At 37.2% G+C, this 16,384-nt stretch overlaps 1 protein-coding gene across 21 annotated transcripts in view; it reads right to left on the bottom strand.

Annotated features, from left to right (window-relative positions):
• Positions 1-16,384, bottom strand: part of KDM4C (lysine demethylase 4C) — a 454,786-nt gene that overhangs the window by 114,058 nt on the left and 324,344 nt on the right. For 15 of the 21 annotated variants that reach the window (NM_001146696.2, NM_001353999.3, NM_001354001.3 and 12 more), the window contains 2 exons: positions 14,674-14,729; positions 12,391-12,499 (listed from right to left, as the gene is read on the bottom strand). In NM_001146696.2, coding sequence (NP_001140168.1) covers positions 12,391-12,499; positions 14,674-14,729 — 165 coding nt within the window. The remainder of the gene's footprint in view (positions 1-12,390; positions 12,500-14,673; positions 14,730-16,384) is intronic. The other 6 variants (NR_148680.3, NR_148679.3, NR_148677.3 and 3 more) reach the window with 1 other exon arrangement.

Here is a 16,384-nt window from a genome sequence, read left to right as displayed (position 1 = left end):
ACTGGACGAGTCTTCTCTAGAGAACCTGACCAGTATCTCTTCCCAATAAAATGCCCAGCCAGATCATAATATTTCAAGTTAACTATCCGACCCAACCCACCAGCACCAGGCTTCTGCTCAGCTCCCGTTATTAAAAATGGGCAAGCAACCAAGGATTATCAGACATCCAAGGACAGCCTCATGGAAGGTAAACACCAAATCAGGTAGATGACAGGCAGTCAAAAACTGTAACGGGACAGAAGATTCCGGGACAGGTTTCTCAAAGGACATGAAATTGATATGCATCCTGGTGTATCTGAATATCTTGAGGAGATGTAAGCATGGCTCAACTATGAATAAATTGTGTTTACAAAGCAATAATAACATAAACCCTCAATTACCTATCCAACCACTGTATGTAAAATACATGGAACACTACTGGAGGGAGAAGAAGGACACATCTGTATAGTGCAACTGACCGAAGCAAATTGAGCTAAATCTTCCCCTCTCCAAAATAAGGTGTCATAGGTCATGCTTGAGACTAAAAAACAAAGTAAATACAGGCATATTATTTAGCTCTTTAGAGGCAAATGACAATAAAGAGATGGATGGGCGGACAGATTGAGAGATACAGACAGACAAAGATGGTTGAATTTGGTTTCCTTTGAGGAAAGGGAAGTAAGGACAGTAGGGGAAGAGGAACAGCTGTCTTTCACATTATAACCTGCAGAAGGACTTGACAATGTAAACCATCTCTAAACAATCTAAAACAAATATGCATGCCCACGCAACTGCTACATCAAAAGTCTACTCCTTTAAGAAATAAAATCCTGGCCAGGCACAGTGGCTCACACCTATGATCCCAGCACTTTGGGAGGCCGAGGCAGGCGGATCACGAGGTCAGGAGTTTGAGACCATCCTGGCCAACATGGTGAAACCCTGTCTCTACTAAAAACACAAAAATTAGCTGGGCATGGTGGCATGCACCTGTAGTCCCAGCTACTCAGGAGGCTGAGGCAGGAGAATCACTTGAACCCGGGACGCGGAGGTTGCAGTGAACCGAGATCGCACCACTGCACTCCAGCCTGGTGACAGACCAAGACTCCATCTCAAAATAATAATAATAATAATAATAATAATAATAATAATAATAATAACAACAATACTGCTAAAAAGTCATCCCTGATTTAGAATTAGTATTAACACTACTATCCTAGGAGCTACTGGGTCAAGGGAGAGGGAGAAGAACAGTTAACAGTTTCAAATTAAATTCATAGGAAGCAGTTAGAAATCAATAAACTCAAATATGTAACAAGGTACACAGACAGTATGCAATAGCTGTCCCTCTCCTCTGTTCTCCACGTTCTTGCCAGTAAGAAGAAGAAAAAAAAAAAAACATGACAATGACATAAAATAAGGAACAAGAGAAAGCAAAGGCCATGTGCCTAAAATGGTGGAGGACAGAACTATTCCCTTCCACCTGATAAGTTACAGGATATCATAAATAATAAACAAACAAAATCATTGCAAGGAATGTGAGAACACTGGATTGAAGAAGAAAGGATACTATATTATGAGGGGATCCTCTCTCTATTCCAGTGGTTTTCAAACTTTTTGGTATCCGGACTCTTTTATACTCTTAAACGTTATTAAGGATCACAAAAAACTTCTATTTATGTGGGTTTTATCTAACAATATTTTTTACATTAGAAATTAAAAATGGAAATTTTTAAAAATATATATTTATGAATTCATTTAAAAATAACAAACCCATTACATAGTAAAATATTTTTATGAAAATAACCATATTTTCTAAAACAAAAAGAAAACAGCTTGAAGAGTGGCGTTGTTTTAAATTTTTGCCAATCTCTGCCCAGTTTAATAAAAGAGAGTTAGAGTCTCATATCTGCTTTAGCATTTGGTCTGTTGTAATATGTTGTTTGGTTGAAGTATATGAAGACTATGTGGTTTGACACACATAAATACTTGGAAAAGGAGATGTATTTTAATAACCTTTCCAGATAATCATGGACATTCTTCATGATACTTCACCAAAACTTCAATGGTAGTTCCTAAAGGTAATGAACTTTTCATACCATGTACTGCAGTAGCTTAAAATCCACTAGTCTATCAGGCATTTGTAACAGATAGTTTGCCCAGGCATAATTTGGTAACATCATGCATTCATCATTTCGAAAATACTCTCGAGGGCTAGGCGCGGTGGCTTAGTCCTGTAATCCCAGCTACTCGGGAGGTCGAGGCGGGAGGACTGCTTGAACCCAGAAGCCCGAGACCACCCTGGGCAACACAATCAGACCTCATCTTTACCAAAAAAATTTAAAAATGAGGTGGGAGGATCGCTTAAGCCCAGGAGATACAGGCTGCAATGAGCCATGATGGCGCCACTGCACTCCCACCTGGGTGACAGAGCAAGACCCTGCTCCAAAAACAAACAAAAAATACAAAATACTGTCACTGAGTTACACCAATCTTCCAAATGTTGGCACATTTTATTACAAAATATCAAAGTCTACATTAATTAATATCACCACTAATCTCATTTAAAAAGCCTGTAAGTACTGGGAAATTATCACACTGATGGATACAAGTTTTCTAAAATTCCAGTTTTCATGTAGAAAGCTCAAATTCTTTCACAGGCAACAAATCTTGTCATTCACTTTTTAGAAAATGTCTGCCAAATACACAAATCAAAGTAATGATTGCTTGGCATTCATTATAGAAAAAAAAAAAGGTTGCATGAAAAAACTGGTAGTACAGCATGCAACTCAAACTATCACTAAAATGTTTTACCTCAAGGCCATGATGTATTATAGCAGGCAGTGGAAGTGCTTTCTAAGTATTTCCTATCGTATCACACGGAATGTAAACAAGGCACATGTTCAAGAATCCAGACTTAATATAATTAACCATTTTAAATTTCAAGGACCTTCTTAAGTGAAACTGGCTTTTTTTTTAATGCCAGATGCCTGGCATTGGAGAATACAATGGTTACTAGTGCAATTTGATGCCTTGGTTTGATGTATGGTAAGTGCCAGCCATTTTCAACAGTGAGCTGCAGCAAGCTTGTACAAGCTCCTGAGAGCGACTGCTAGATCTTCAAGAATTTTGAGAGTTGGTTCACATTATATTGGTAGTTTGAAACTGGACACGGTGAGAATATTTCAACCAATGAAATGTGCAAACACAACAAATGAGGGGCTTTTTTCCCCTTTCCTAGGAGAGCTGCTTCTTATTTACTGCCACATCAGTAGCTTTACCAGCCGTTGCACTTGCATCGTTAGTCTAAAATTCAATGCCTTAGGATGTCTGAAAAGGGTTGGAAACAGTATGCTGATCACATTTTGAGAACCACAGCTCTGTTCCAAACAGTGATTTATCCCCCAAAGGCAAAATGGCTCAGCCAAAAGACACCATAGCAGAGACTGAACTCTTCTGACTGCTGGCCCCTGTGCTTTGAAAGAATCCCAATGCCTTCTGAGAGATTGTCGAATTCATTTCCTCTACAAGAAGGTGGAGAAAAAGCCAGAAATAGATGAGAGGGTATCCTGGTAAATAACAGTACTCATGGGTCATAGTCATTCTCTAGGCCCCAAACTGCTGAAGACTCCCAGCTGTACCATGCAAGGAAATGGCATTTTTAGCAAAACCGTCCTGAACAAGATCGCTTTTCAACATGCGATGTCCGTGCTCAAAATGAAGCAAGAGCTGTATCTCTGAACTTCTGTTTTAGAGAACATCAACCTATTCATCTTACGGTTTTCAGCAATAACTGCAGGGGAAGTTGGTGGAATCTCAGACGTTTGCAGAAGAGCCCTTCTATGCCCTGCTCCCTCGGAGATGACAGAACACGCCAGTTTAACAGGCCTCCATTCAAAGAAAATTCCTGTTGCTTACAAATTGCCCAGAGGCTGTTTAAAATACAGTTATGTTCTTAACAGTGTTATAAAAATAAAGGGGGAAAAATCACTTAAGAGAATAACAGCTAATATTGCTAACGTTCTTTGAGTGCAAACTCTGTGTCAGACTGTTAACTTTTTCATTTCATCCTCACAATCACCATAATTTACAGATGAGCTTCAGAGGGTTAATCTGCATAGCCAAGGTTGCCCAAGTGGAGGATACAGGGCTCAGGCAGTCTTAACCCAGAGCCTGTACTCTCCATCTCAACCTAAGGGAGGCTTCTTATAATTATGTGATCTAAAGCATGATATAGATGAATGCAGAGAAACTTTGATATTGAGATCAATAAATCCAGCCCATGGCTGGCTAAAACAGTCCTAGTATCTGTGTCTAACCAGGAGCTCATGTTAGATAAAGACTTCACTTAATTGTGGGACCACACCTAAAATATACCACAGTGAAATTCTAACTCCAAGTATGAAAATGTTCTCACTTTACACAAAAAGCTTTCTTTGTGGATTTTTAAAACCCACCCTTCTGAGGAAATGAATAACCTAATTTATATTAAAATATGAAACAAAGAAAAGTAACTAATTCCTGACCCCCTTCTTCTCAGAAAAACAAAGAATAATGAATTCATTGTTACACAATAATGACCGTACCTTTCCAAAACTATAACCTCTCTTGCTTTCAATCACTGTTGACCAAGCAAAACCCTACAGATTGTTTAGAGCTGTCTAACAGCTGCCTCGGTTTGGCATGTGTTTGTTGGTATTGACCCAGGCAGTACTAGAGTGAAAGGAATGACCCTGTCTCTGAAACTCCAACCTGGCTCACTCACTCAATTAAAAGATCTGTCAGTAATCACTACTCACACAGACAAGATCAGAAAAAAATGGAGCATTCGTCAATGCAAGCTAGAAAATAAGATTACTTTTTCACAATACTCTTTAATCATGAATTATCTGAAGTCCCACCTGTCTAATAATGTTTTTAAAATTAGCCCTCAGGAAAAAATGACTTCAAAACTGAAAATTTAAAGGCTCCAGTCAATTTCCTTTTGTCTCACAGTTTTTCTCTCAACAGATAAAGAAAAATCCATAGTAACAAGATAACATTTCATGCATTTACACATTTTCTCCTATAGACATCTACAGCCTTCAGAAAGTATATTATTTGTAGCCATGCCCATCTGACATTTTCCATTTTACTCAAAAGATTTTATGGTTTGGTATTACAGCAATATACAAATTTGACAGCTTGCAATAGGATCTAGTCCCTGTAGCAAATCATTCTGACAGTTAAGTACTATACAGCTACTAATGTACTTTTTTTTTTTTGCACTACACTTATTTAAAAACCTTACAAAGCTGGAGACATATGTATGTTGAAATCCTGAAGAACATTATCTTAATGATGTTATATAATTTTATACTGGCCGTGTTAAATAATAAGACACCACATACCATACCACAACCGTGTCATCTGTAGTATAGTACCTCTTACTCCTCCTTTAGAATAGTTCACTATTCAAAGCACTTTTTGTGCACATTAACACTACTGATTACTGTTTAAGCAATAAGTTTTCTCATCATTGTCAATGTTTATTATTTTCTTAGAACTTCTCTGTCTTTAAAAATACCTGAGCCTATGAATAAATCGGTACATGAGTTAATGTGGAACATACTGACTTTTTCTGATTGCCTTTACGACACTACTTCTTTTCTTTTAGCATGATGAAAGATAATCAATATGTCTTTACATTTCCTAAAATGCATTAACAGAGGCCCTGTCAAATACAACCTTGATTCTTTCAGAAAGAAAGCCAAGTTGCTCACGAACATTGCTGTAACATTAACTAAATAGAACTCTGAGTGATCTTACAGCACAAGAGGCAGACCCTATCTCTACCTCTCAATAATTCTATTTTTAGTATTCAGTATATCTGATAACATGAGTCAGTTGGCAAGAGAACATGCGCCTTCGTCTAAGAAATAGGAAGTGTGATTGTATTTTCTCCCCCTTGATTCAACTCTTGAGATGGAATACCACAGTGAAACCACTCTATTTTCAGAATTGATATACCTTTCAAAACTATAATCTTTGGCTTGCAGGTTCACTATTATTTGCCTTCAGGTACAAATTTTAAAGTGTACAGAGGCTTCTAAGCAGAATAGTATGGTCTCAGCCAGACACGGAAAGGCTTGTAGCTCAGTCATCATTGTAGTGTAAATTCCTTTTCAAAATAATGTTCTTCACTCAGAGAACACTTGTGCCTGGGCTTTGTTCACTTGTCAAACACAAATCAGAGGTCATCGAATGCCCAGGGGCAAATCCTGCTATTCCAAAATTCATTTCTCCCTCTATTTGGTTGCAGAAATAGGATTTCAAATGTAAAAGTCCTAGAAAGGTCTAAAGACATAGAAACCAAAGGCACTGTGCTACACCACTGTGAGGACGGATGCATTTGTGACCCATGAACAATGCCAAATTTTTTGTGTTTGTTTGTTTTTTGAGACGTAGCCTTGCTCTGTCGCCAGGATGGAGTGCAGTGGCGCCATCTCGGTTCACTGCAACTTCCGCCTCCCAGGTTCAAGCAATTCTCCTGCGATAGGCTCCCGAGCAGCTGGTACTACAAGCATGCACCACCCACACCCGGCTAATTTTTGTATTTTTAGTAGAGATGGGGTTTCACCATGTTGGCCAGGATGGTCTCAATGCTAAGTTTGTTATGCAATGACAGCAATCAGAACAGACATCCGCTGCATTGAAAGATGTGATTTAATATTTAAATATTCATACAACAGTCCTATTTGAAAACTTTATCTCCAAATAGAGTATTTAAAACTAATAGTTGCATTTAGGATCTGCTACAACTTCCTAAGATTTCTTAAAACCCACAAACCTGCTCTGCTGGCTTATTTACAAAAATACCACAGATCTTTAATTAATTTAAGCTGCAGGAAGTGATCAATGTATACAATAAACATTCATGGTAAACATACAGCAACTACCAGAAATCCATACTTCTTTTTAACTCCTTTTGCTAGATTTTTAAAATGTCCTTCTCTTAAATTTTATAATCAAATCTAAGATTTTTACAGTGATCTGTCTCCAAACCCTACCGCCTTCTTCCTTCTGTGTGATACCATAAAAACATCATTTGTTATCTCTAAAGTCCCATCCTTAATCCTTCTTCCTGATCATTTTTATATTGTAAAAACAAAATAGGCCATTCTGTCTTAATGTGTGTTTTATATATCTCTATGTTCCCTTGTTTTTGTCTGTGCACAATTTTGTTCTTCTTCCAGAGATTCACTTATGACTACGGCCAATCAATCATACTAGTAGAGAAAATAAGAAAGAAAGAAGAAAAGGAAAAAATTCTGAATAAATTCTAAATCTATACCACTTGGGGTCAATTCTTTTTCTTTCAGTCCTCAGGCACACCAATCACCTGTGACTTCACACAACCCCCTAGATGGGCTACGGGGAGAAGGAAACGTCCTCAGTAGCCTCCTATTATCCTACAAAGTGCCAATCCTCACATATTCTTTTGGTGAACAGAGAAGGTGCTGCAGGGCACAGGGAAGGGGTTTGCAGTAATAGGACTTGCCACAAGGATAACTTTTCCCATACAGTAAAGTCATTCAGAAGCAAAGCAATTTATTCTAATGGACAGGTAATAAAAATACTACATAATATAAAACCTGCATTAAATATCAGAAGAATGCTGAAGCTGACAGGGAAACTGGTTCTCCCTTTTGGATATGAAGTCTTTAGCCCATTCAGCTAACTTTTCATTTCTTAAGATTTGTTAGCATTTTCATTTCTGCCCTGTAACAGGATGACTCTACTTAATAACCCGGTAGTTTTGGATAGCAACCTGTAGCATTTTTTTAGCTGGGGCAGCAATTACTTTAATAATTACACAAAAGTGAAATATTGTTAAAGAAAACGAAAGAAAGAACAAATTTAACTGGATGGAGACCACTACAGCCAAACTTATTTTTCATTAAAATGTTTTAGGTTTTTAAAAGTTAATTATTAAAGTATTTAAAATTGGACACAGAAATAAAAGAAAATATAATGTCTTGAAAATAAGTCTAATGTCATCATTGTTGTCCATTTAATTGTATGATGAACAAAGGCCACACCTGTGACATTACCAAGCAAGGTGGCTGGATGAGCTAAAGGATCTCCATGAAGCACACACCATTTTAGGATCAATAAATCCACAGAAGAGCACCAAAAGGCTTGTTTTCCATTAGTTGTCATTTTTTAAAAACTGGCCATTATACATAAGAGGAAAAAATCTGCTCAAGTAAACAAATCCTTTCCTGTATCCGCCACAAAATTCTCCTTGCACGAATAATTTACCAGAGGAGCTTTTCAAAAGCTGTAGGTTGAAGCTCTGAATAAATAAACGACTAACAATAGTGTTACCAAAATATTCAAATACCTCTGCATAAATTCCAGTATTTCATATTCTAGAAAGACTGCTAATAATGAGCATTTTAAAAATAAACAGCCTTCATATAATGGAAGACATTTTAAACTTATGCTTGCCCACCAGTCATTCTATTAGCCTCTTGCAGTTACTAGCTTTATACTAGTGTTGTTTATTACTTATTCAGAAAAACTCTAACTTGCCCCAAGGGACAGCAGCTCTTTTTCTACAGTTAAATGAAAAACTAAACTAAAAAACTGTCCTTTGGAATTCAACACTTTGAATGCATCACGAGCAGTACTTTCGATGCTCTATTGTCATCCCTTGGGCACTCGCTCGCTCTCTCTCTCTCTCTCTCTCTCTCTCTCTCTCTCTCTGCAGGTGTGGCCAGAGCTCTGGTTAGGCACTAGAGAAGGGAGGTGGTAGTTTAAGAGCAACATAAGAAACTGGTGCAGCAGCACCACCTCGTGGGTACTGAAGAGATGCAGCCCTTGCTGCTGCTTCAGGGATGAACCACTTGTCCACTCATTTTCAATCCCCAGCTGACCAGAAGTTCCAAGATCAGAATTTTCAACCAACAAGATGAGTACTGCATGCATGTTTCATAGGCTCTCTGGAGTACTGCTGGGCTCTACAATTTAATCATATGTCTCCTGTGATGCAGATAAGTAAAGTAATGCCTTGCTTTAGAGCAATATGCAGACATGTGTGTGAATTAGATCTGTTACATTTAAAGGAGAAACCGTGGAAAGGCAAAGGCCATTTGTTATTGTCTGATCGCACTCCTCCAGCCACAGTCATTATAAGCCTGACGTGCAAATAATGAATAATGATTTGCTGCCTTTTATTCATTTCATAAATATTTACTCAGTGACTACTATGTGCATATACACATACATCACAGAATTTTAATCTTAGGTGAAACTTGATTAGTATTCAATTTGGTTGTTCAATTTCCATAAGAACAGGTAATGTTAAATTGTTAAATGAGATTATATAATTAATAAGTATATAGTAGCTGATATGCACATGTTACCAGACTTTATTGCTTTGCTAACAAAAAAGAAATTTGGATTTGAAAAAAGAAAAAAATCCAGGTTTGTTTTTAAAAACATTTAACAATTTCTGTTCTGTCAGTCTTGAATTCAGTTCTTCCAACCAAGATATTCTCTAAAAATGACAAATATTGAAAATGTTCTCTTTCTGTCTATATCTTCGCTGTAGACCCGTGGATTCTTAAATGAGGGTGATTTTGCCTCCCAGGGGATAGCTGGCAATGCCTGTTTGGTGAAGGCTGCTGGAATCCTATGATGCACATGACAGTCCTCCACAACGAAGAATTATCTGCTCTAAAATGTCAGTAATGCCAAGGTTGACAGAACAAAAACTGTGTCTGATTCAAAAATGTATACTACATGGCAAGACAAGTGATAATTGTTTGGTGAAATAAATTGATTATGACATCTAAATAATTCTTATTATTTTCCAGTTGTATGAAGAGGAAGGCAGAATGGACAGTCTAGAGTTCAGAAAAGGAATGCCCACAGCTCCAGAAAAAAATATTGAAACTGACACTGGCAGACACATATATATTTATGAAATAGGCAGAATAAAATAGCTTACCTGGACTTACTTTTGCCTGGATGAAATACCACACAAAACTACTCTGCTTTCCTGCCGGCCATGAACTTGTTAGGTTACCATTTAAACTTCAGAAGAATGCCTATGTCAGGAAAGTGTACCCTTAACACGACATACAGGCAGAGCATCCTATTCCCTGGAAAGGTGCGTTTCATTCCCCACATAAGTAAATTGTATTATTCAAAGCCATCCTCTCTGAGTCTGATCACCATGGAACATCAATGAAGACTGGGGCACAGACACTGGACTGCAGTGGACTCACAAGGGTGATGATTCCTTCCTGAGGACTCTTGGTGAAAAAGAATCCAGACTTTCAGTCATTGCCCCTGTCAAACTATTACAAACTTAGACATTCTTCCCCCCAAATGAAGTTGCTCCTCGTATTATTATTCCACTAAAGATAACTACTACAAGCATTTTGATGAGGATCATTCTAAGAAACTTTCCATAAATATAACATTATATGAAAAATAATCTGGTCAAGAGGCTGCTATTTTCATCCAAAAATATTTCACAGATCTCAGTTTACATCTGTAACCATAGCTCTATGTTATCATTTGAATAGACTTTTGGTGATAATGACATTCAGTTAAGACATGCTCTTTTAAAGGTACCGACTGCTTAAGGAAGGAAATGTTCCATGAGAAATGTGATATGCACTATCAAGATGAAGCACAGCACTGTGAGGAAAGCGACAAGCTTCACCATCTTTACTTGCAATTATGATATTTCTAGATATAACACCCTGAATGTGGATGAAATAATCCTGCTGCCCTTCCCTGCTGTTCTCTCAAAAACCCTTTGGGACTGATGTGGGTAACGTTAAATCTTTAAGGAAGCACTTATGGACTAGAGAAGCCAAGACATAGGCCTGTGGAGGCAGCCTCAAGAGCAGTGACTACTCCTTCTGAGGGGCACTGCACTGGTAATAACACAGAAACAAAGGTGATTTTAAAAGGTGGTGTAGAATTTTGACAAATATCTATTACTTTTATAATCAGAAAAAAATATTAAAATGTTAACATTTGTTAATATTTGTCACACCAAACATTAAATTATTTAACATGTGGTAGTTCAACTTTTTTTTGGATATCATATCTTATAGTCCTAATTCTTACAAACGTTTTGTTTGTTTTTTGGTGTCTTTTTTTTTTTTTGGTAATCTGGGTATAAGATTTCAAGCTTTCCTATGGAAGTCCAGGAGCTGAAGAATTATACTCTCTTCTTACTTCTTCTGACAGTCACTGTGACCTTTAGAGGGCCATTTAAATGGCCCACTCATTTCCATCTTAGATTACAAAACTTCCAACTACCACATGCTGAGCATCCTAAGCCCAACACTCACATCAGCCACAGTAATCATCAGTTCCATGAAAGGCCCATATATTTCCTAGTGAAGTGAAATTCTTGATGGAGGTATGATGGCAAATAACAGTGTTCACTTTCACTTCTCCGAAAACAAAATACAGTAGGCTAGACTGTGAGTTCCTATAAGAGAGCCCCAGAGACGGCACACCCAGCTCGCCATTGGGGAAAAGAGCAGTGGGAAAACAAGCAACAGTCAAGAAAAAAGAGTCATAGTGATGATGCCTGAAATGCTGTACAGTGGAAAGACCTTCAGTGGAAAATAACAACGACTCAGGAAATTCTAGAGTTTTAAGTCCACCTGTAAGACGTGCTCCAATACATTAAGGTCATGCAGTTGAACTTTGGGGAAAGTTCTAATTAGGTATGCAATATAAGGGCCTAAACTAAGGATCTGCTGGCTCATAATTGAATAAAACTACAAAGTTACTTCAATGTTAAAGACAATAAAGGCCTATATTTTCAATGAAAAATGCTCTTAACAGAAACCAATGGGAAGATTTTTACACAGTTTCTGAACAAGCCAGAGAGTTTGGCATATTAAGTGACTTGTACCTATTCAAGAGTGAGAAAATATCTTCGTAAAAATAAAAGCTTCTTTATTTCTCTGTGTGTCTCTTCTTGGTGAAGAGATAATGAAATTAGGTTAGATACATTTTGCTAGGTTAAGACCAACCAAAGAGAGTCAAGAGAGAAAAATCTAAACAATTTAAATAGAGTTAGATGGCTCAGCTCCAGTACTGACAAATCTTACCAGATAACCTATAGTTTGAAAGTTCACATTAATTCAGGAAATGTATTACTATCTTTTTCCTCATTTCAGACAGAAATTGAGGAAGGTTATATGCAAACTTACAATATAACAGGAAAAGAATTTGTAAGAATAAATAAATTTAGGCTAAAGGAAAATAAGGGTAGAAAAATAAAAGAAAGCTAGGAGAAAATATACCTTGGGAATGTGTGCATTAATGGAAAAATTCAGAACTTGAAATTAACACTAATTTATGAGGTAAAAAAGAAGCTTTGCCACTCACCAATTTTAACCTCTGTAAAGGTATTCTGCCTACATCTATTTGTGTCCTTTCTGGGACATTAGTGAATCGAACTTCTGGGACCGCAACGGCGCACATGACATGGGCCCACCTACAGGAAAGGAGACATTAAACATAAACAAAAGTTCCCTAAACTTACATACTTCAACTTGGTGATGCCAGTTCTCACAGATGGGAAATACACAGATGAGCAAGAAAGCCAAAAGCCTAAATCCATCACAAACAGATTCTGAACTGTAAACCTCCTGAATGATACCTGGACAGACTCAGTACCACAGCTGCCCAACAACATTGTGCCATGAAGAGCTGATAAAGGCCCACGACTCTATCCTATTAACGTGCACATATTTTTCTACACTTGATCTGCAAAATACTGAAATGTGGGTTTCTTATTTCATTTGATGCTGGAATATGCATGTATGTGCTTAAAGTACTTAAGCTAATCAATATGTGGCAAAAGATTAGTTCAATTAATAAAAGGTATGAACTGGGTATAGCACACAACCTTTTAAAATAATACAAATGTCATGAAGCAAACTTGTTTAAGTAGCAAAAGTTTTCCAAAAGAATTAATGCTAATCTTTAATTAAATTGTTTCTTGCTGCAATCTTACTATAATCAATGAAACCCAGAGACAAAAAGAAATGAAGTTTATCTCATACCCTAGTTTCCTACTTTTTTCACTTTCTGAAAAATGACAACTTTCCCGTTAATACTATTAAATGTCTCATAAATGTTATATCCCAAAATAAATATAAAGAATCATGAGGTTTGAAGAGATCTTGAAAGAATTGTCAAATCCATCAACCTATTTTTAAGCCAAAGCATATTTACTTCACTCAAACAGTATCAGACTCTATCCTGTCTTTCAAGACCACAGGAAGAGAGAACAAGTATCGATCCCACCAGGGCATTCTTCCACATCGAAATAAATACTATCATTCCACAGAAAACACTATTTCTTTTTGTTGTGGTCCAAGCATAGGAAGAGAACGTCTTATCACCCGTGTTTTTACAGGAACCACCTAAACCATCTCACAGTATGGCATCCAGTGCAATATCCAAGAACTAGTGAAGACTTTCAGTATAGTGCGAATCATATCAACCAGGACTGTGGAAGAACATCTTCTTTCAAAAATTAAGCAAACCCTACAGTTCCTTACAACAAATTTTATTAATGTAATAATGATAAATACCTTCACTCCTCCTTCCCAGCAATCAGAAACATGTGCACATGTAAAGAATTATGCTAAATCCACCATTACATTACACCAGGAGTCCTAACTCCAGTGCCCAGGGGGCCAGGCGGAATGTAAGCAAATACACATATACTAGGAAGTCATGGTGAACTGAGGAGTACCTGCCCCACTGACACTGGGTTCTATCCCAACTTGTTATTACTGCCTTATAGGGATATACAATCATTTTCAATTAAAGATGAAAATCTGGATTTTTATGTAAAAATCTCTCAATTTTAAATTTTAGATGCAATTTATAAAATGGTGCCTGGGTCCAACAAAACATATCTTAGACATGAATCTGGCCCTCAAGTGCCAGCCTGCAAAATCCGCCCAGGTTATTTTGACATGTCTCTATTCCAGCGGACCCTGTAATATGCTTTGGCCCCATTTTCAATATTAAAACCTGGTCATGAAAAAAAAATAAAATCCATGCAGAACAGTCATAAAAACTAGACTGCCTTCCTTTTATGTTCACTTATGACTCTCTTTCAAGACTCTCTTCATATTCTCCACCTGATCCCTTTAAATCTTAACATCAATGTTTTCTCCCTATCTTTTCTAATTTAGTACACTTACATTCTCATAAATTTGCTAATGTAAAAAGTAAATGGTTTTGTTTTATTATCATTGCTATGACTGATTTATCTGAAGATCACGGTTTCACTTTCTCAGGTATGCCCTGTTTTAACAGACCAATAGCATTCATCATATTAAACACCAGGATTCTAATGGCACCTGGATGATATGGGCTAACTCCATTTTCAAAACTCTGTGAGTAAAAGAGGGGTTATTTTTCATGGTGTCAAATACAAAGAAGAGAAGCATAACTTGGACTGCTCTTGCCCTGCCGAGATGAGAGTGCAAACAGTAGAAGTCTCTGAAGCACAGAATTCCAACCTCAGATCTGAGCAGCAAAAGCTTTGAAACCACGTGTACAATGAGAGGTAAAGCGAACTGTCATCCAAAGGTTCTAGAATGGAGAAAGAAAAATAATGAAATTCAACACAATTAATGTATTACTTACTTATTGTTCTTCGTTTGCTTAAGAGCACCTCCTCTCAAATTGCAGAGACAGCATTCCTGGGGGGAAAAGAAAATACCACATGATGACCAGACCCACATAACAAAAGTCATTACCATTCATCTAAATATTCTCAGAGATCCTGATTTTTCATTCTAAAATTAAAACCATCAGGAATTACATGAAGGTCTATCTCTGAGAAGTTCAAAAAGAAAGACAGCGGAGGGGGAAATGGTAGAGGTACACCCCTCAAATTTCAGGGTATAAAATTCTCCCAGAGGGAACCATCATGAAATGAACCTGGTATAATTTTAAATTGACACTGTCATCAAAGGAAAGCTGTGACACAGAGAACCTAGCAGTCCAGAGAACCTAGTCCACACACCTAGTATATGCAAGAATTCTAGAGCAGAGAATGCACACACGACGGTGTAGCCTTGTGCTCTGGGAATTCACTCCTGGATACAGGGTGGCTAATGAATGGAGTCTGGGCAGGCTTTTTTCTACTACAAGGATAAGCAAGAGGCTATTTTTAAACGATACTCTTTTCACCAAAGTAACACTTGCGCCTCACTCTTTCTGTGGGCAAATAGTGTTATAAAAAGTGTCCTGATCAACCCCAGCTATCCGGCCCGAGAAAACAGCACCAAGAAACGTTTTGCTTTATCCTTCCCACATAAGCTTAACCTTTCAGCACTCTTATGTGTCTTAGCTTAGAATGTAATTTTCTACTCCAAGATGACTCCAATTGCTACAAATATAGATTTTATTAGTTATTTCTCACTACACTCTCATGAAAAAGACCAGGAAAAGGAGGACCAGAGAGCAGTGCACTGCCTTCTCTTGACCTAAATTGTTTCAAGCTTGTCCTCTCAATTTTCTGCATTAATACATTTTTTAAATTGGTAGAAGTTATTTGGAGTTTTTTCCTCCAAAGTTTATATACGAAACCTCTTTACCCTGTCCACTAAAGTGATGTTCCTTAACAAATTTTGACAATTTTTCCTAGCTTTACAAGGAATCCATCTAACTGATCTACTATTAATGAGGTGTGAAACTTCATAGCTTTTACTTTTCTGAGGAAAACGATACCAAAACAACTGGAAAGAATCATGTATCTGTATAACTTTTGTTAGGCAGTAATAAATGCAAACAACTAGAAATGTCCAACAGGTTTGTGTGTCTGAAAAGTCTCTGTAAATCTATATGAAAATTCCTGGATTCAGAGTAGTAAAAGATACACTGTGTATATTGATTTGAATCCATTATAAACCCAGCTCAAGGAGTTAACAACTCAATGAAGAATTTTCTCTATCCATACCACAAAGCCATATCCTAGAGGCCTTTGGAATAACTGGTTTTGATGAATCACAACAAGCAAAATTTCACAATCCAAATACTGAAAATGAGAACTCTGGTAGTTCATTTTATAAGTTCTCAATTTTAGGTATTTTTCCAGTAATTTAACACACTTTCTACAGAGAAAGAGGAGGTGAGAAAGAAAATGAATGAATGAAAAAGGAAACAAAACTTGAGGTCAAGTACTTTCGTTGTATACATGAAGATGTTAGTTTCAAAGTGGGAATGCAGCAAAGAGTTGTGGACTGTGAAGCACTCAGGCTCTAAGAGAATTAGATGTCTGATTAATGAAAGTAGCAGTGAGAAGAAGCCTAAAGGGACAAGTTAGGAAAGTCAAATACAGCGCAGCAGCATG

This window comes from Homo sapiens, chromosome 9 (assembly GCF_000001405.40).
Source record: "Homo sapiens chromosome 9, GRCh38.p14 Primary Assembly".
Lineage (NCBI taxonomy): Eukaryota > Metazoa > Chordata > Mammalia > Primates > Hominidae > Homo > Homo sapiens.
This window is presented reverse-complemented; position numbering and strand designations above follow the sequence as displayed.